The sequence below is a fragment of the Homo sapiens genome, chromosome 2 (assembly GCF_000001405.40).
Source record: "Homo sapiens chromosome 2, GRCh38.p14 Primary Assembly".
Classification (NCBI taxonomy): Eukaryota; Metazoa; Chordata; class Mammalia; order Primates; family Hominidae; genus Homo; species Homo sapiens.
The window spans coordinates 16,583,130-16,605,344 of record NC_000002.12 but is presented as its reverse complement, the minus strand read 5'-3'; the positions used below and the strand labels follow the sequence as shown (position 1 = coordinate 16,605,344).

The 22,215-nt window shown below is 40.1% G+C and overlaps 1 protein-coding gene across 10 annotated transcripts in view; it reads left to right on the top strand.

The window, feature by feature from the left end:
- CYRIA (CYFIP related Rac1 interactor A) overlaps positions 1-22,215 on the top strand; it is a 116,376-nt gene that overhangs the window by 60,490 nt on the left and 33,671 nt on the right. For all 10 annotated transcript variants that reach the window (XM_024453163.2, XM_047445942.1, NM_030797.4 and 7 more), the window contains one exon: positions 17,216-17,295. In XM_024453163.2, coding sequence (XP_024308931.1) covers positions 17,226-17,295 — 70 coding nt within the window. In that variant the 5' untranslated portion in view covers positions 17,216-17,225. The remainder of the gene's footprint in view (positions 1-17,215; positions 17,296-22,215) is intronic.

Here is a 22,215-nt window from a genome sequence, read left to right as displayed (position 1 = left end):
AGTGGGGGACACATTGACTTTCATTCCCTAAAAAAGAATCTAATTTTGCCCTCATTTCTTGGGTACTTTTTGCTGCTGTACTATTGATGTTTATGGAAAAATTAGCTATGATGAGGTAATAGTCTATTTTAGAAAACTGAACTCAGATATTGAAAGAACTATTTTAAACCTGCACTTAATTGTTCAATTCCATAATGGTTTCGTGGTTTTTTTTTTTTAGAATTCCCGTGAATTGCCTTACAACTGGACTCTAGCAGCTTGTATTCCATGGGGAATGCCAAGCCCTTTTGAGGGACACCATGGTATTAATGATCGATGAGAATATTCAAGGCATTTTCTCATTTGAGTGCCATTACTTGTAGTGTTAAAACGTTTTGAAAACACACTTTAGCCATTAACTCATTTTTATTGTCAGATGAAAGTGCTTAATAGACTCACTCCACTTCAGTTTTCTTCCTTCATCTCGGAATGAAATCGTCTGTTGGATTCTTGGCAATACATTTGACAATGGAACAGAAAACCTCATGACTTCATTGCAAAAAATGGCAGATGGAGCAGGGATGTGCAAGCCCAGCCCCGCCATCTAAAATGGCTAACCTGGCTTAGCAAATACAGGCTCCCAGAATGTATCAACTGAGCTACTTCATTCCAGTGGTGCATATTTTTCCCCAGAAAAACAGCTGCTTATATCATTTAAGAAATGTACCTTTAGATGAGAAGTATTTTTTAACACCACCTATTGATATATTGTAAGCTGATGATTAAATGGAAGTGGGTAGTTTGTTTTGCTTGTAATTCAAAACAGTCAGATGGTGTACATGTTGTAAACGGGGTTCTGTGGTGACCAGGAGAAAGCGTGTCTGAGTCATCTGAATACTAGACATGTCAGGGCTGGGCCCCTTCCTCCTGGGACACCCACTGGATGCCAGACGATGGCTGGGAGGAGCCAGAAGTGCTGCTGGCTTTGCAGAGCACTGTGGGACATCTGCAAGCCTTTGATGTCACTGACAACAGTGGCCGCCCTGGCTGCCCATCAGGATTTCTCCAACTCTGAACCTTGCTGATAAGCTTGAAAGGTAGATTGTCTTAATTGCCCTCCTAAAATCACATCCAGTCTCCAGAAACATTCCTAAAGCCAAAACTGGACTGTTTTCCTCTACTCTGTTTTCTTCTACCCTGCTGGGGAAATCTTGGGGCCCCATAGTAGCTAGAAGGTCAGACTTAACGATAAAACAAAGCGAGGTAGCAGGTGCAGATGAAGGCGCTGGCCTGACGACGTGAGAGGCCAGGTCACGCTTGTAGCTCTGCTCCCAGCCCCACACAAGGCATAGCCCAGGTGCGTGTTCCTAGACTTCAGGATTTCAAAAACCAGTAACATTTCCAAATAAACCTGGCATATTTAGGATATAATTACAACATCATTTTCCAACATAAATAAAAACCGTGTAACATAGAAGTGTTTGAATAACTTTCTGAAAGGCTCATGACGTAGGCTTTGTTTTTCTCATTTTGCCTTGGAGGGCTTGGGAACCACTAGTCAGAACAATCCTAAGGATTTATTTTTCAGTGCTTACTACATGCTAGTCCTGTCCTTAAGTGCTGGGAATACAAGGTGGTGTAAAAGCAGCCCTGCCCTAGAAGACAGGGAGATACAGGAGAAAGCGTATGTAATTATGGTTTGCTGCGATAGGCACTGTTGCATGGCCCACAAGACATGTTAGGTGAGCAGAGACGAGGAGCTCACTCAGAAGAGTGGCTTTTGTTTTTACTGGTGTAGAATAGAGGGGGAGGGAGGGCTCAGGGGGTCCTTCCAAGGGTCCTGATCTTCACCCTCCTACTTCAAAGGAAGTGTGGGGGAAGCAATTGCCAAGAGCTGGTGCTTAGATGTCAGATAGAAGGGGATTCCAGTGACCCTGATCTGTCACTGGTGAGATGCAGTAAGTTTCTAAGTCTTTAAGATTATTTATCTCTGAAACTGGGATAATAGCAGTAACTATTTCATATGGTTGTTGTAAAAATTAAAATATGGCAATACATAAAGCACCCTCCTCACTCTGGCCTGCAGATCATTAAGAATGTTAAGCAGACAGAGCAGCATGTGCAAGGGCCCTGAGGCAGTCAAGAGCAGAGCCACTCTAGGGATGGGATGTGCAGGGCAAGGCTGGAGTGGAGGGGGCGGGGTCCAGGCGTTCTGTGCCCAGTGCATTCATTTGAATGCATTCTGTCCGACAGGCACTGGGGAGCCACAGAAGCATGTTAAGCAAGGAAGTAGTATCTCAGATTTGTGATTAGGAAAATGGCTCTGCCGGCAGCATGGAAATGAGTAGAAGGGAGACAAGACTGGTGTCAGGAAGATCAAGTTGGAGACTATTTGCAGGATACTGGCAAGCTCTGCCAAGGGTATGAATCAGGAAAATCAAATTGAGAAGGAAGGAAAGTGTGCAAAAAAAAAAATTATTCTGGACCACCAGCGAGGGTGTCCTTATTAGGGAGCAAAGAGCATTCTGAGTTCATCATGTCTTAGAAAATGAACTTGATGCCCCATTTACTCTTTGTATTAATGGAGAGAGCATGAGATTGAGAGCCACAACATCTCTCTTCTAGTCCCTTCTTTGACCCTAATGTGCTGTGGATTCTTGGACCCATTCTTTTTTTGTAAAATGAGAGCTTTAAAAAGATGACCCCAGTTCTAATATGGAGTGTATTCAGATTAAATTTGGGGATGTAGGGGGCCTGTATATTATGAAGTCCAGGACCCATCTGGAGGACCTTGGGAAGGACACTTACTATACCTGGTCATGGAGTTCTTATACCCGTAAAATGGGTCCAATGATAACTTTTCTCCCTTTGACATATGTTCATACTGAAGATAAATGCAATCAGACACATCTTTGACAAAGATGTGAAATTATATAAATATATGTTATTGGTGTATTCATGGTCAGTCTGTAGTTTAAATGCTATGTTGCCAAAAAAAAAATTGGATGAGTCAGGACTTCCTTATTCCCAAAATGTTGTTATAGGCAATCTGAGTCTTCGATTTCTTCAAGTCTTTGCACCAGAGAGGCTAAAGATTATAGATTCTGGAAGGTATTGGGTCATTCAAAATGATAAGAAAATCTATCCCTTCTGATAGAGGTCTTCTTATCTGTTAGAGATGAGTATTATTGTCTTAGATTTTAAAAAAATGTTAGAAAATAAACCCTGGTAGGGCTGCTGTTGTATTGATTTGTTTTCTCACCTTCTGTTCATTATTGATAAAAAGTAGCATTGGCTTAGGAATTCTCCTTTCAAATAGTCATAACCAAAGAAAGAAATCTCCTAGGAGCTTGTGATCTACTCATGAAGGTTGAGCATTGAAATTTTGGTATACACAGGCAGAGGTCATCATTCACACTGCCCTGTTCCCTGGGCCTGCTTCCTTTGATATGTCTTATTTATAGAAAACAAATGAATTTCTCCATAAACCACAGTCACTTCTTTTTAAAATAAACCCTGCTTGATTTCATTTGGTTTTATACTCTGGGAGTGCAGCTAATGCTATCAACTTATTTTTCTTCTAAACAAAAATAGAGTTGCAAATAGTGAAAAACAGTGTCTGCATATATGAATTCTCTCTTTTTTTTTTTTTTTGAAACTGGAAATGTGACTAGAGAATTATTTCTTAAAGAGAGTCATGGTTTTCCACTGAATAGCCTTAAAGCCAACTCTCATAGAAGTGGTTTTGAACTGAGAGCCAAGAAAGCGGTCATAGAAAATACCATGAGTACATCCAAAATTGTCACCCCTTAAAGATGAGTGCCTCCCTTGGCAAGGGCGTGCAGGCAGGCTTTAGAGGCATTGCTACCACTCCTAAAATGACTAGAGAAACACCCATATTCTAGACTATTTGGGGGAAAAAAATTGAATAACCTATTTCAAAATACTAGCACAGTAAATGAATCTTGAGGAAGAAATTCTCTGTTTTTGGAGGATTGAGGGGTCACCCAATGTGTATTCTGTGTTCCCTTCACACTCAGAATCCCCCCCAACCCCCTCAGCTGGAGGGCTTCTCTCAGCCAACCCGGATTCCCAGTATTCTTCACGTTGGGTGGCAGCTTGCTTCTTCTATCGAGCAAACTCTTCCAGAAGACTTCACCCCACATAATTTTCTCTTTTCCTTCATTTCCTAAAGAAACACCTCCCTTCCTGTACATGCTATTGAGTAGCACTAGTGTAGAGCCAACCCCTTTGGAATCTAATGGAAGCTATGGGCTGTCTCCCCAGAAAAAATGAGCGTGTTCATTCAACAATACAGCACCCTACACATACCTTCAGCTGACCACACTCTCTGAAGTCCCCAGGCAGGGGCCTCCTAGGGATGTGGAGCCCCAGGACTTCTACTGTGCAGAAAAGAGCATAGTCTTCAGATTCACAGAGTTTCAATGTCAAATGTGACTCTATCTTTTATTTTCTTGTAGTATTTGAAAAATTGTTTAGCCATTCGAACCTCCTTTTTATCCCCCCAATCAATGTGATGATAATTATAGCTACCTGATGTTTGCTGTAAGGTTTGAATGAGATAAAGTGTGTGAAAGCTTCAAGTATAGTGCCACACACACAGTGGGCACTCAATAAAATGCTGATGTTCCAGTTTCTCTCATAAATTATAGTAGTAATAACTATAATTACTCTGTTACTTAATATGTAGCGGGGACATACTATTATTTTCACATTCAATTAATATATTTGAGTACTTATGATTTATCAGGAATGTGATACGTGCTTCTAGATAGATTAAATTGTTTAATTTAACTAGTGCTGTTTCCCTAAATAGAATGTGCATCACCTGAATGCGGAAGCCATGTCTTCTCTCAGTGCATACCCCACCTGTAAGTGCCCTGGGGATTGAGTAATTCTCTCAGAGTAATTGTTAAAGGTAGCATTTTCATTAGAAAACCAAAGGAGGAAGAAGAAACTTGCCACCCAAACTGTTATCAGATTGCCTTTTCGTGGGATAGGCATTGCTTTTTCCTTTTATTTTGCTGTCACCAAGAGAGTCAGTGTTGAGGAAGATAAAGCAGATCTCCTAGGACTGGAGTGGGCAGCCACCCCAAGTCCCCGACTTCAGATTGCTAGAAAATCTACGTGTTAACTTTTTATGCTTTGGCATTTCATTTCTTTTCAGTAGAAGTATTTATGAACCACTTTGGTTGGGTTTTCTTTATTAGACATTTGTTTTCCTTAGACTTTGTGCTATATGACATGGGGTACACATAGACACAACTGTTTGGTTAAAAAGTAAAATCTGGCCAGGCACGATGGCTCACGCCTGTAATCCCAGCACTTTGGGAGACCGAGGCGGGTGGATCACCTGAGGTCAGGAGTTCGAGACTATCCTGGCCAACATGGTGAAACCCGTCTCTACTCAAAATACAAAAATTAGCTGGGTGTGGTGGCGGGTGCCTGTAATCCCAGCTTCTTGGGAAACTAAGGCAGGAGAATTGATTGAACACGGGAGGCAGAGGTTGCAGTGAGCTGAGATTGCGCTACTGCACTCCAGCCTGGGCAACAGAATGAGACTCTGTCTCAAAAAAAAATAAAGTTGGAGGAGGAGCCAAGATGGCCGAATAGGAACAGCTCCGGTCTACAGCTCCCAGCGTGAGTGACGCAGAAGACGGGTGATTTCTGCATTTCCATCTGAGGTACCGGGTTCATCTCACTAGGGAGTGCCAGACAGTGGGCGCAGGCCAGTGTGTGTGCGCACCGTGCGCGAGCCGAAGCAGGGCGAGGCATTGCCTCACCTGGGAAGCGCAAGGGGTCAGGGAGTTCCCTTTCCGAGTCAAAGAAAGGGGTGACGGACGCACCTGGAAAACCGGGTCACTCCCACCCGAATATTGCGCTTTTCAGACCGGCTTAAGAAACGGCGCACCACGAGACTATATCCCACACCTGGCTCAGAGGGTCCTACGCCCACGGAATCTCGCTGATTGCTAGCACAGCAGTCTGAGATCAAACTGCAAGGCGGCAACGAGGCTGGGGGAGGGGCGCCCGCCATTGCCCAGGCTTGCTTAGGTAAACAAAGCAGCCGGGAAGCTCGAACTGGGTGGAGCCCACCACAGCTCAAGGAGGCCTGCCTGCCTCTGTAGGCTCCACCTCTGGGGGCAGGGCACAGACAAACAAAAAGACAGCAGTAACCTCTGCAGACTTAAGTGTCCCTGTCTGACAGCTTTGAAGAGAGCAGTGGTTCTCCCAGCACGCAGCTGGAGATCTGAGAACGGGCAGACTGCCTCCTCAAGTGGGTCCCTGACCCCTGACCCCCGAGCAGCCTAACTGGGAGGCACCCCCCAGCAGGGGCACACTGACACCTCACACGGCAGGGTATTCCAACAGACCTGCAGCTGAGGGTCCTGTCTGTTAGAAGGAAAACTAACAACCAGAAAGGACATCTACACTGAAAACCCATCTGTACATCACCATCATCAAAGACCAAAAGTAGATATAACCACAAAGATGGGGAAAAAACAGAACAGAAAAACTGGAAACTCTAAAACGCAGAGCACCTCTCCTCCTCCAAAGGAACGCAGTTCCTCACCAGCAACAGAACAAAGCTGGATGGAGAATGATTTTGACGAGCTGAGAGAAGAAGTCTTCAGACAATCAAATTACTCTGAGCTACGGGAGGACATTCAAACCAAAGGCAAAGAAGTTGAAAACTTTGAAAAAAATTTAGAAGAATGTATAACTAGAATAACCAATACAGAGAAGTGCTTAAAGGAGCTGATGGAGCTGAAAACCAAGGCTCGAGAACTACGTGAAGAATGCAGAAGCCTCAGGAGCCGATGCGATCAACTGGAAGAAAGGGTATCAGCAATGGAAGATGAAATGAATGAAATGAAGCGAGAAGGGAAGTTTAGAGAAAAAAGAATAAAAAGAAATGAGCAAAGCCTCCAAGAAATATGGGACTATATGAAAAGACCAAATCTACGTCTGATTGGTGTACCTGAAAGTGATGTGGAGAATGGAACCAAGTTGGAAAACACTCTGCAGGATATTATCCAGGAGAACTTCCCCAATCTAGCAAGGCAGGCCAACGTCCAGATTCAGGAAATACAGAGAACGCCACAAAGATACTCCTCGAGAAGAGCAACTCCAAGACACATAATTGTCAGATTCACCAAAGTTGAAATGAAGGAAAAAATGTTAAGGGCAGCCAGAGAGAAAGGTCGGGTTACCCTCAAAGGAAAGCCCATCAGACTAACAGCGGATCTCTCGGCAGAAACTCTACAAGCCAGAAGAGAGTGGGGGCCAATATTCAACATTCTTAAAGAAAAGAATTTTCAACCCAGAATTTCATATCCAGCCAAACTAAGCTTCATAAGTGAAGGAGAAATAAAATACTTTATAGACAAGCAAATGCTGAGAGATTTTGTCACCACCAGGCCTGCCCTAAAAGAGCTCCTGAAGGAAGCGCTAAACATGGAAAGGAACAACCGGTACCAGCCGCTGCAAAATCATGCCAAAATGTAAAGACCATCGAGACTAGGAAGAAACTGCATCAACTAATGAGCAAAATCACCAGCTAACATCATAATGACAGGATCAAATTCACACATAACAATATTAACTTTAAATATAAATGGACTAAATTCTGCAATTAAAAGACACAGACTGGCAAATTGGATAAAGAGTCAAGACCCATCAGTGTGCTGTATTCAGGAAACCCATCTCACGTGCAGAGACACACATAGGCTCAAAATAAAAGGATGGAGGAAGATCTACCAAGCAAATGGAAAACAAAAAAAGGCAGGGGTTGCAATCCTAGTCTCTGATAAAACAGACTTTAAACCAACAAAGATCAAAAGAGACAAAGAAGGCCATTACATAATGGTAAAGGGATCAATTCAACAAGAGGAGCTAACTATCCTAAATATTTATGCACCCAATACAGGAGCACCCAGATTCATAAAGCAAGTCCTCAGTGACCTACAAAGAGACTTAGACTCCCACACATTAATAATGGGAGACTTTAACACCCCACTGTCAACATTAGACAGATCAACGAGACAGAAAGTCAACAAGGATACCCAGGAATTGAACTCAGCTCTGCACCAAGCAGACCTAATAGACATCTACAGAACTCTCAACCCCAAATCAACAGAATATACATTTTTTTCAGCACCACACCACACCTATTCCAAAATTGACCACACAGTTGGAAGTAAAGCTCTCCTCAGCAAATGTAAAAGAACAGAAATTATAACAAACTATCTCTCAGACCACAGTGCAATCAAACTAGAACTCAGGATTAAGAATCTCACTCAAAGCCGCTCAACTACATGGAAACTGAACAACCTGCTCCTGAATGACTACTGGGTACATAACGAAATGAAGGCAGAAATAAAGATGTTCTTTGAAACCAACGAGAACAAAGACACCACATACCAGAATCTCTGGGACGCATTCAAAGCAGTGTGTAGAGGGAAATTTATAGCACTAAATGCCTACAAGAGAAAGCAGGAAAGATCCAAAATTGACACCCTAACATCACAATTAAAAGAACTAGAAAAGCAAGAGCAAACACATTCAAAAGCTAGCAGAAGGCAAGAAATAACTAAAATCAGAGCAGAACTGAAGGAAATAGAGACACAAAAAACCCTTCAAAAAATCAATGAATCCAGGAGCTGGTTTTTTGAAAGGATCAACAAAATTGATAGACCGCTAGCAAGACTAATAAAGAAAAAAAGAGAGAAGAATCAAATAGACACAATAAAAAATGATAAAGGGGATATCACCACCGATCCCACAGAAATACAAACTACCATCAGAGAATACTACAAACACCTCTACGCAAATAAACTAGAAAATCTAGAAGAAATGGATACATTCCTCGACACATACACTCTCCCAAGACTAAACCAGGAAGAAGTTGAATCTCTGAATAGACCAATAACAGGCTCTGAAATTGTGGCAATAATCAATAGTTTACCAACCAAAAAGAGTCCAGGACCAGATGGATTCACAGCCGAATTCTACCAGAGGTACAAGGAGGAACTGGTACCATTCCTTCTGAAACTATTCCAATCAATAGAAAAAGAGGGAATCCTCCCTAACTCATTTTATGAGGCCAGCATCATTCTGACACCAAAGCCGGGCAGAGACACAACCAAAAAAGAGAATTTTAGACCAATATCCTTGATGAACATTGATGCAAAAATCCTCAATAAAATACTGGCAAACCGAATCCAGCAGCACATCAAAAAGCTTATCCACCATGATCAAGTGGGCTTCATCCCTGGGATGCAAGGCTGGTTCAATATACGCAAATCAATAAATGTAATCCAGCATATAAACAGAGCCAAAGACAAAAACCACATGATTATCTCAATAGATGCAGAAAAAGCCTTTGACAAAATTCAACAACCCTTCATGCTAAAAACTCTCAATAAATTAGGTATTGATGGGACGTATTTCAAAATAATAAGAGCTATCTATGACAAACCCACAGCCAATATCATACTGAATGGGCAAAAACTGGAAGCATTCCCTTTGAAAACTGGCACAAGACAGGGATGCCCTCTCTCACCGCTCCTATTCAACATAGTGTTGGAAGTTCTGGCCAGGGCAATCAGGCAGGAGAAGGAAATAAAGGGTATTCAATTAGGAAAAGAGGAAGTCAAATTGTCCCTGTTTGCAGACGACATGATTGTTTATCTAGAAAACCCCATCGTCTCAGCTCAAAATCTCCTTAAGCTGATAAGCAACTTCAGCAAAGTCTCAGGATACAAAATCAATGTACAAAAATCACAAGCATTCTTATACACCAACAACAGACAAACAGAGAGCCAAATCATGGGTGAACTCCCATTCACAATTGCTTCAAAGAGAATAAAATACCTAGGAATCCAACTTACAAGGGATGTGAAGGACCTCTTCAAGGAGAACTACAAACCACTGCTCAAGGAAATAAAAGAGGACACAAACAAATGGAAGAACATTCCATGCTCATGGGTAGGAAGAATCAATATCGTGAAAATGGCCATACTGCCCAAGGTAATTTACAGATTCAATGCCATCCCCATCAAGCTACCAATGACTTTCTTCACAGAATTGGAAAAAACTACTTTAAAGTTCATATGGAACCAAAAAAGAGCCCGCATCGCCAAGTCAATCCTAAGCCAAAAGAACAAAGCTGGAGGCATCACACTACCTGACTTCAAACTATACTACAAGGCTACAGTAACCAAAACAGCATGGTACTGGTACCAAAACAGAGATATAGATCAATGGAACAGAACAGAGCCCTCAGAAATAATGCCGCATATCTACAACTATCTGATCTTTGACAAACCTGAGAAAAACAAGCAATGGGGAAAGGATTCCCTATTTAATAAATGGTGCTGGGAAAACTGGCTAGCCATATGTAGAAAGCTGAAACTGGATCCCTTCCTTACACCTTATACAAAAATCAATTCAAGATGGATTAAAGATTTAAACGTTAAACCTAAAACCATAAAAACCCTAGAAGAAAACCTAGGCATTACCATTCAGGACATAGGCGTGGGCAAGGACTTCATGTCCAAAACACCAAAAGCAATGGCAACAAAAGCCAAAATTGACAAATGGGATCTAATTAAACTAAAGAGCTTCTGCACAGCAAAAGAAACTACCATCAGAGTGAACAGGCAACCTACAACATGGGAGAAAATTTTCGCAACCTACTCATCTGACAAAGGGCTAATATCCAGAATCTACAATGAACTCAAACAAATTTACAAGAAAAAAACAAACAACCCCATCAAAAAGTGGGTGAAGGACATGAACAGACACTTCTCAAAAGAAGACATTTATGCAGCCAAAAAACACATGAAGAAATGCTCATCATCACTGGCCATCAGAGAAATGCAAATCAAAACCACTATGAGATATCATCTCACACCAGTTAGAATGGCAATCATTAAAAAGTCAGGAAACAACAGGTGCTGGAGAGGATGTGGAGAAATAGGAACACTTTTACACTGTTGGTGGGACTGTAAACTAGTTCAACCATTGTGGAAGTCAGTGTGGCGATTCCTCAGGGATCTAGAACTAGAAATACCATTTGACCCAGCCATCCCATTACTGGGTATATACCCAAAGGACTATAAATCATGCTGCTATAAAGACACATGCACACGTATGTTTATTGCGGCACTATTCACAATAGCAAAGACTTGGAACCAACCCAAATGTCCAACAATGATAGACTGGATTAAGAAAATGTGGCACATATACACCATGGAATACTATGCAGCCATAAAAAATGATGAGTTCATATCCTTTGTAGGGACATGGATGAAATTGGAAACCATCATTCTCAGTAAACTATCGCAAGAACAAAAAACCAAACACCGCATATTCTCACTCATAGGTGGGAATTGAACAATGAGATCACATGGACACAGGAAGGGGAATATCACACTCTGGGGACTGTGGTGGGGTCGGGGGTCGGGGGGAGGGATAGCATTGGGAGATATACCTAATGCTAGATGACACATTAGTGGGTGCAGCGCACCAGCATGGCACATGTATACATATGTAACTAACCTGCACAATGTGCACATGTACCCTAAAACTTAGAGTATAATAAAAAAAAAAAAAAAAAAAACACACACACACAAAAAAAAACACACACACACAAAAAAATAAAGTTAAATCTTTGATGATAATCCAAGTATTACTAAAAGAGTAACCACACCATCCATATTTTTAAAAGCATTTGTTTATGTTCGGGAATTTTGCATTGAAAATGGGTTTTAATTTTTGTAGAATTACCTGAGGCCTCTATCACAAACTTACATAAAAATTGTTCTTTTGAAAATTTAGTTGTCTTCCATAATAATTTATATTTTTTAATCAGCTTCTACACTGAATTTTAATAATTCTTAGTTTTCCAATCTCTAATAATATATATCTGCCCCATGTATATTTTGAATATGAAACAAGAAAATGTATTTAAAATACCATGACTTGCATGTAGAAAAGTCTCTTTCAGCTATTAATGCCTATAAGCATTTACCTGGTTATAGTTTAATGTGGAAAAGATATACATAAAGGACCATGAATCTTAGGACACCAATCTTGAAAAATAAAGAAAAATGGAAATCATATGGAATCATATGATGCTGGGGACATTAATCCATTTATTGGATTCCCTGAATATCTTACACTATAAGAGGAGTTGTAATATTGAACAATTATAGGTAATATTTGCCCAGCCCTTTACAGTATACATGGTGCTTTCACACTCAGTTCATTTAGTCCTGACAAGAGTTCCATGCAGGAGATACTATTATCGTACTGTTGTGCAAATGAAGAACCCAAGGCTCACAGCTACAATGATTTGCTCTGGAGTAACAGGCAGTTAGATGGTGCTTTATATTCTTGAGGCTCTTTCAAGCACTCTTTTCTATGATCCTATTCATGTATTACTTACAGTACACACCTTTCTGGGTAAGATTTGGTGTTCAGAAAATACAAACAGGTTAAACTAGAGAAGTACAGCTTTTTGTTTTTTTCTTTTTTTTTGATTGAAAAACAAGGAAAAAGTCATAGCTAAGAGAGAGTCAAGACAAAGAGAAACCTCTGTTTTCTAAGAGAAGAGTCTGTTTCACAGTAGAAGTCATATTTGAGAATGAGCTGAGTCAACACATCATATTGTTACTTTGGCCTACTCTGCTTCAGATTCTCAAGACTGTGTCTTAATCCCTGCAAGTTAGTCCCAGCTTACGATGCATGGGAAAATAGACCCAGCCAATGCCAAGGACCAGTGACCCAGATGCCCAGACACCTTCACTTCAGCAGAGAAGGGGCAGAGTCCTGGAAAATCTAGGCAGGGAAGACTTGCGCCTCTAAGAGTAAAAGGCCTCCCAGAGAGGACATGGATGAAAGGAGGACCACCTTCCAATGCCACTCTCCAAAGCAGGAAACATCCAAATAAAGGATGTTGATTTTCAGGACCCCATCCCTTCATGAGTGCTTACACAACTGGTATATCCTCTCCCGTCTCTTCCTCTGGTAGCCAAGACCTTATACCAGTTTGAGTATCCTTTATCCAAAATGCTTGGGGTCAGAAGTGTTTTGAATTTCAGATATTTTTAAATTTTGGAATATTTATATCATACCTCTTGGTTGAACCTTCCAGATACAAAAATCTGGAGTCCAGTGAGTATTTCCTTTGAGTGTCATGTCAGTGCTCAAAAAGTTTTAGATTTTGGAGCGTTTCAGATTTCAGGTTTTTGAAATTGGAATACTCAACCTGTACTCTCTGTCCTTGTTCTACCTCTACCAGACCCTCCCCACAGGAATGAATTTAGATCTGAAAACTTCTATGTGCACCAGTGTAGCTACATTATGTCCTACATAAGTAGGACTTCAACTTAGAAATGATTTCTGAAGATGCCAAGGGAGTCATTGTGTGTGTGTGAGTGTGTGCATGTACATGTGTGTATATGTGTGTGTGTCTAAAGTAAGCCTAAACTTTACAGTATACACAACATACTATATTTAAGTAATAAACTCAGATACTCAGATTAAAGTCCTCCTAGGGAGCTCAGAGTGCCTGCTGGATTGCCGTATTCCCTCTGATATAAGCTCTCACACCATAGGGAAAAATGGTAAACTGACGTCCCTTGGGATAGACCCAGCAGCAGGTCACATTAAGAGGGTATCCATGGAAACACCAAATAGAATGTAGAAACCGGAGTTCCCAGCCCTTCAGAGTACACCCTAACCAAGCTACTCTGCCACCCATTTGGCTGTGTAACCACAGCTCTGCCCATGGGAGCTCTGAGACTCAGCTCATCCTCAAATATGACTTCCTCTGTGAAACAGCCTCTTCTTTTAGAAACCAGAGGAGATTTCTCATTGTCTTGTCTCTTTTTCCTTTTTTCAGTTAAAAAAACTGTACTTCTCTAGTATAACCTGTTTGTATTTTCTGAACACCAAATATTGAAGGGGACACTTCTTTGCTTTGGCTATCCAGGAGCAGACGATAAGCCATCTCCAACAAATGTTCTGGATGGGATGGCTTATAATTCATCTATTTCTTGCCTCTAGCTTTATCTTACTACTTCACTTTTACTCTCCTACTCTCCCTACTTCCATTATTTATTTGCATTCTCTAATAGTGCATAATAACCAAAGTTATTTTATTGAATGAGATAAAATAATAAAAAAATAAGCTCTATATGAATTAATTAAGCTATTTCATGAGTACTATGGTAATAGCAACGTATATTTTGTATTCACTGATGAGCTGCTTGAAAAAATTGGAGAGTAATCTGTCATGCAGAATATGGATGAGAGGCCTTTCCAAGTGAAACTCTGGGTCCAATTAAAAATAACTGTGGAGTCTACTAGGTGACCATCTGTGTGATGATGGACCAATTCACTTTGCAGATCCCCCTAAACCAGAAGACACTCCCATGAATTCTTATCAACCTTGGAGTGGGGCAGTAAGCATCAAATCATTTGGCCATAATGAGATGAAACACTTGTTTTCTAGGTTCCATGGGACTAGACTTTCTACACAGTGTCCACAGTCATTGTTCTAGAGGTCCTTGCTTGAGAGGTGACACTTCTGGAATCCTGAGAGTTTCAAGTAATTAACCTTGGTTGATGTTAGAATGATGTTCAAAAATATCTGATGATATCAGCCAATCCACTGAGATAACCTTTTGAAGAGACAGAATTCCACAGCCAATATTTGGACATACTTTTACTTGTGTTTGTTTCTATCTGTTATGAGTTTCAAAGGCTTGGCATATCTTCTACTTAGGTACTCTGACAGTAAAATCACATACAGGACAGAATTTTAGGAGGAAGCCCAATCCATGCAAGTCTCTTATGATACATTCATAGCACAAAACTAAGACACCTAAGAATATTTAGCTTCCATCAAAGCACTTTGTATGAAAGTCAGTACTCCTACAAACAGTAAAATCATCTTCCTACAAGAAGTGACTCCAGACCTAATCTGAAATTGTTCCTTAATCTGGAGACAGATCATTTCCTAGAGACCCAGGAGGTTAGTGAATAGTGAATGCTGCCCAGTGGCAGGGATGGACTCTACCAGCCCAACCTTTAATTTGGCAGAACCTACCGCACACAGGATTTTGCTCAAAAATATCTTAAAAGGAAATGGGCATAAAGGCAGGGAAGGAATGGAAGAATGACAGAAAAGACAAAGAATAATCTTTGAGAAGAGAGAAATATGGTGTTTGCTTTCCTGTGTGTGTGTGTGTGTGTGTGTGTGTGCATGCATGCCCAAATATATTCCTACACCTCAAGGTGAGAGATGTCTAGGATGCGTCTAGCCCAGCCTTCTGCCCCACACATAATTCATTTTTCCAACGCTGTTGAGGGCTGTTATAGCATTTTTCTACTTAAATATCGCCAATGAGAGAAAACTCACTATTTCACTAGGCAAGTGACTTAATATTCAGATAACTATAATGTTTAGAAATTTTTTCTCATCATTTCTCTGTTAGTCTTCTCTTTCCTAGCACAGCATACGGCCTATTATAATCCATCTTTCATAGGCTAATCCTAAACAAGCATTTGAAGGCTGTTAGCATAATCATGATGATGATGATGATGGTGACTATCATCATCAATAGTAAAAGCACGTAATTTTTCTTGAGCACTTCCTGTAAGTGCTGTGCTAAGCATTTTATACTTTTATCTGATTAATTCTCACAACTTGATGAAATAGATCCTTTTCAAAAGTTAATTTTACAGATGAGGAAACTGAGGCTTATGGAGATGAAATCTCTTGCCCTGGATAACAGAGGTAGTAGAAAACAGCTGGAATTAGACACCGGCCATCTAACAAAGATAGACTACTTAAAAAGTCTGTCTTCTGATTTCATGTTAGTGATTTATATCGGGGAGTATGTCTGCAAATGTGTGTTTTCCCAGCGGAGGATTATGGAGACCAGATCCCACCACTTGCTACATATTCTCATGCGCAGAGTCATCCTTTCAGTGCATTCTTCTCTCGCCACATCTTGCTTAGAATGGTGTGTTTTTTAAAATTCCTTGTATCAACATAAATATTGTTGGAAACTATAGCCATAGAAAATTGAAGCCCAGCAGTTTCCTTGCACCAGTTCAGTAATTTTTCAAACTGATCCTTCACAAACTGAAATATCTGAGGCACAAGAGTTCACTTACAGCAGAGTTAGAGGAATGTCTTTCCAAGAACACAGTGCCCAGCATCTAATCGCTCCTCCGTAAATATGTGTTGAATGAATGAGTGGATTGATGACTTCCCTAAAAAGATAGTTTAATGTCTAGAGCTGAGAGCAGTAGAAATTTTTCTGTTTATTAAAAAAAGCCCTACATTTTAGCTATTCTTTTTATTAGGTTGAGACTGCTGATATGTAAGAGGTTTGTAATTTTCTGTTGATTTGACTCACCTTTGCAGATGTCTTAGGCTGCAGTTTTACTGAGAGTAACTTTTTGGGCATTATGCCTTTTCATTGTTAAGCTTCCAGAAGTATCCAATCTCATTACCATTGGAATGTCAGATCACAAGATCCTCTAACTTGCCTGGGAGCCACTCCTCTGAGAAATCTGGCCTCTTATACATGTTAAGAGGAGTTCCTGGCAGTGTAAATATATGTTTTCTAAACTCTATTCCTCGTGAGCTTTCAGGAACTTACTTTTTTGGACAGGTATTTTTAAAATGCCGTCTTTGTTGTCTTTCCACTGATGTGACATGTTCCACATCTATCTAAAGGAAACAAAGCAAAGCCGAAACATTTGCTGTAAGGATCCAGGGGATTAGGAAAAGTGGAAGGGAAGCACTTCGGAGAACATTCCTAAACTTTGTCTCCTATAATGAAAATACCTGATTCTTTTCATAGGCTGTTCTTTATGTTTTTTTTTTTTTATATGGTGAACGAGATATGGACTGCAGGTGTATTCTCTCGAGAGAGATTGTAACACTTCTATCATTGTCATAATTTTTATGGCTTAGGCCACATGTCCCCAAGTTTTAGAGACCCAGCACCTCAGAGATATTTATCTGTCACCAATTTAGAAATGAGTTGCTACATTATTGCTCAACCCCTGGGTTGGAGATGCTCTCTTTCTGGTCTTCAAAGGTAGCTATGGGGGGCCCAGGGATATTCACGCAAGTCTATTTTTTTTATGTTGCTAATGGTATTTGGTTTTGTGTTGCCTTTCCTAGGTTTGCTGGGATGGGAAACCTGCTCAAAGTCCTTACCAGGGAAATTGAAAACTATCCACACTTTTTCCTGGATTTTGAAAGTAAGTTCCAAAAATTATAATAATGGAAACTTTTTTACATTCCTTATAGATTGTTGATAAGGAAGTTATAACATAAATATTTATATCATAGTTGAATCAAATCCAAAGGTCACTGTATTAGTCTGTTCTCATGCTGCTAATAAAGACATACATGAGACTGAGTAATTTATAAAGGAAAGAGGTTTGACTCACGGTTCCACATGGCTCAGGAGGCCTCACAATCATAGTGGAACAGTAAGGGACGTCTTACATGGTGGCAGGCAAGAGAGAGCTTGTGTAGGGGAACTCCCCTTTATAAAACCATCAGATCTCGTGAAACTCCTATTCACTGTCATGAGAACAGTATGGGGAAGACCCGTCCCCATGATTCAGTTACCTCCCATCTGGTCCCTCCCACAACAAGTGGGAATTATGGAAGCTACAATTCAAGATGAGATTTGAGTGGGGACACAGCCAAATCATATCAGTCACTATGCATTTTTTTTTCTGAAATCATTTCTAATGTCATTTTCCTTCCTTTTTCCCTAATTTTTAAGAAATCCAATGGAAAATGTGTTTAATGTACCCATGGTTTTCTTTGATTTTAGAAGTGATCAACTTTTGTAGCCCTAGCATAAATAGAGGATCATTTTAGTCTTTGCTTTCCTTTTGAAGGTCGTAAGCCCACATTTATTGAGCACATACAAAGGAAAAAAGATGTGAAGAAAACCATCATGTATTTTTCCTAAAAATGTTTATGAATTACTGTATCACATTCCAAAGAAAGTACTAAGGACAGTAATTTACAAAGATTCATATAAAACAAATATTGCTAAATGTGAAAGAAAATTGTGATCAATACCAGAAATAAGGCTTACAGAATATTTTTAGTCATTTCCTTTATTCTTTATGTATTATTTGATTATACAAACCACTTCAGGATTTTGACATATATCCCTTTTACCCAAAAGGTTATGTTTCTCTTATCAAAAACTACGTTTTCTTCAGGTGAAATGGCTTAAGAATCATGACTGAAAAAAGACAGGGATTTTTTCTTATTTTTTGATTGAATATATTGACAAATGAGAATGAGTATATGAATGAGGAACATTTATGTTTGCTCAAACTAAGCTCATGTTTCTTCCTTAACTCTCATGTTCACCCCTTTTCAAAATTCCAATTTCACAATAGCAAGCACAGTTAACTGTCTTTTTTCCCACTAATCACCATCTGCTGCACACTCTAATGTACTTTAAACTTTAATTTTTCAAATATTTTATCGCCATTAAAAATAATAATTGGAACTTCCTTGCATATAGATTAAACCTTCTAAAAGAAGTTTGCTAAGGAAATGCTATAATACCCTTCTAAGGTGCACTAAACCAAAAGTGTAAGCTCCGTAGGTGTATTTTTTTTTTTTTTGGTGTCTTTGGCAGGTTTTAAATAGCTACTTGAAAAGGAAAAGTGTCCCCAAAGCTTGTATGTTCTGAAAATACATTTAATCTAGTTTATAGTCAATGAAAGATGCCTTGCTTCTGATTTAAATCAGCGTGCTATGTTGTTGTTATTGTTTGGCTTGGTTTGGTTTGGTAAGGGGTTTAGCTAGAGGCAGAGCGAGTTGATATATAAAATGGGCCTTTTTACTGGTTTAACTTTTGATATTCCTCTAAAAAAAACCACACACACACATATATGTTGTTCAAAGAATGGTTTATTAATTTTTTTAAATGTGCAAAACAAATTATCTATATCTTGCCACCCTTCTTTTACTATTTACATGTTTAATTGTTCCCATCCATTTCTTATCAGATGCATTTTACATTGTTGCATTCAATGTGTACAAAGGCCAAAATAGTGGTAACGTGTCCCATTTATTCACAACTGTGGGGGTGTATAAAGGCCTGGGAGTAGGAGACTAACGTGCTTGTTTGTTTTGGAAACCCTAAATTCCGTATGCTTCTGTGCATGCTCATATGTACCTCCCAGAATTCAGTGGCCTCACTTGCCTGTTTAGCTGTTCTTGGAGTCTCAGATTTCCATGCTTCCAGAAAGACCAGTGTTGAGTTCTTGGTCAAGTCTAATCTCAAAAGCCTTTAAAGTGATCCAAGTAGAATTTGCAGGGATTTAAAATAAATGCAGTATTATTGATCCAAGTAGAATTTGCAGGGATTTAAAACTGGTTTTCAACTGGTATTCTCCTGAGCATCAGATTTCTGAGTCTATGTTAGAAAATTCCATCCCCCCACCATAGCACATAGGGGGACGTTGAGAGGTGCTTCTGTGCGCCCCCACCCACTACTACCAGAGTACTCTGCTTTGCCCAGTCTGGTACTTTGAATATTTTCTTAATGTTTTATGTAAAGAAAGGTCATGGTAGCTAAACAGAGCATTTAGAAGTCTCAAATTTTGATGATAGTTTATAGTACTAAAACTCCATTTGTCAATTTAATTTCCTCAAGGGGAAGAAGTGTGGACTGGATTCCCATATCTGGTAGCTTATTACTGGGGCTAGAGCTATAGTATTTAAGGAAGATATAGAACTATAAATTTGTAAACATATATAAAATCCTGCTTATTTTCTCATCAGTCCTATGGATAAGACTAACTTTATTCCACTGAAATTTTGAGAAGATAAATAACTAGGGTGAAGTCACACAGGAAATGACTAGGAAATCAAGATGGGAACAAAGATCTCTGTGGCTCTCCTCCTCCCCTGGTTTTACTTCCCCTAAGTGCTCACCACCAGTAGCTTCCTAGAAGAGCTACAGCAATCGTTCTGTCCCTGACCAGAGAGGGACATCTTAGTTGTCTGCAAACTAAGACATTCCATGGAAAAAAAATTTTTTTATCCTGAAAATCCTATTTCCTAAAGATGATTTTCAAGAAATGATGATGGGCTGGAGGGGTAGGGAAGGTGGGCTGCTATCGTGATTTCTCCTTGAGTCTCTGGATTTCAATTCAGTCCACTAAGGGCATGTTGAATATGGTTGTGAGTGTACTTGTAAGCCACTCAGTGTTAGGGACACAGAAGTAAACAAGAGCAGTCATTGCCCAATGAAGTCTCAGGCTAGAGTGAAGGACAATAGTCACTCAGTTTAAGATGAAATAAATAAAGGACTTACAAGAGCACAGTGTGGCATGACAGTAAGGAAGGAAAAAGAGCATACATCTAGTTTTGGGAAACAGAAGGCCATGGAAGGAATTGGAGAAGTCTTCTTGCAAGAGGTGGCATTTGGAATGGGCCTTAAAGAATGAGTGGTTTTTCTACAGGCACAGATAGGGAGAGTTTTTTAGCAGATGGAAACAGTATGATTAAAGGCATGGAAACTGGAATAGGAAGGGCATGTTTGAAGAACAGCAAGAGGTCCGATTTAGATGAAACACCAAATGCTTGCTGGAGAGAAACGGCGGATGAAATGGAAGGCTGGCTTGGGTTAGACCATGCAAAGTAAGGCTGCCAAGCCTGGGAGCTTAGGGCTAGATGTCCAGCACTGGGGCTTACCTCCAAAGAGAATAGCAGACATCCCTGAGAGAAAACCAGAGAGCTGAGCAGATGGGAACATTAGGCATGCTTATGTTTAAAGGGGGCTTGAGCAGTCCAAGGATCCATGAGAGAGGTCAGACTGTAGAAGAAGGAGGACATCTTACTAAACTGAGATTCCTGGAGGCAGGGTCTGGGCCCCCTCAGTTTTGTGACTCAGCACTTAACCCATGAATGAACCTCAGTAACAGATGCTGATCCCATGAGGGAACAGAGTGAAGCGGGCTCTATCCAGGCAGTCACAAGAGCACATGTGATCAAGAAGGAGGGAGTGTAAATGGATTCAGTGCTGCAGAGCTGTCAAGAAGAATGAAGCTTGAAAAGGGACTGATGAATTAGGCAGTGAGCTGTCCAGTCACTAGTGGCCCCTAGGGGAGCAGATTCCGAATTTGTTGCTTTGAATATAGAGGCTGGATTGTAAAGAGTTAAGGAGGAAGAGATGGTGGGAAGGAGGAAGGCTGAACAGCATGTTGTAACAACTTTAATGAATTTGGCACCTCTACTTTGAGTGTTAAATATTCTTTTTGAAGTTAGTGGTAGAATATAATTGAACTGGGTCAGACAGATATAATTAAGCTGGGTCAAAACAATACAAAATTAGACACATCTGTCCTTAGGTATTCCTGTTGCATAGATCTGATTTAAATTCTCATCTGACCTTTACAGTGCATTCTATATACTTTGTATTCACATTTCTCTACAAACACTTAACATCTTTGTTGTTGTTTTTCATCCCTCTACTTCTTTTTCTTCCCTCTCTACTTCCTTCCCATGTCTCCATGTCCTCTTTGAAGTCTGGGAGACAGGGAGAAATGAAAGATTAATGTAGCAAACTAATCTTTCACGAGTGATGGCTTCAGTTTACAGGAAGAAGTATGTCTGAAGTTCTACTCAAGATTGTGCAACCAGACCCACCATTATGGCACCCAACTTGGGCAGTAGGCATTAACCTTTCAATGAAGTAGTTTCAGTAATTCCAAGGCTGAAATGATCATTAGAAACATCTGGTGAACCTTCTTTTTATATGGTTACCTGAGACTCACCTAAAAAATCAGATTCAGTTGTTTATTCCCAAGAATCCATTTTTCCCACATTTCCAGGTGCTTCTGATGATAAGCTGCTTTGTGAACCACCTTTAATTCATGCATCCAGGTGAGGATACATAGTTAGTGTTTACAACAGGGAAGCTAACCCATGCAACTTTTTGAGCTCCAAGATCCAAAGTTTGGAGTGGAAGATCTCCAAGTTAGGTAGAGGTTCAGGTAGATTCAAATCTCTGCATTCTCACTTCAAGTAAACTATTTATTTTAATCAGCAAATAACTTGATCTATCAAAGATTTCTTTGGGATCTGAGTGGACATTTCTCCAAAGAAAATAAACAAATGGCCAATAAGCACAT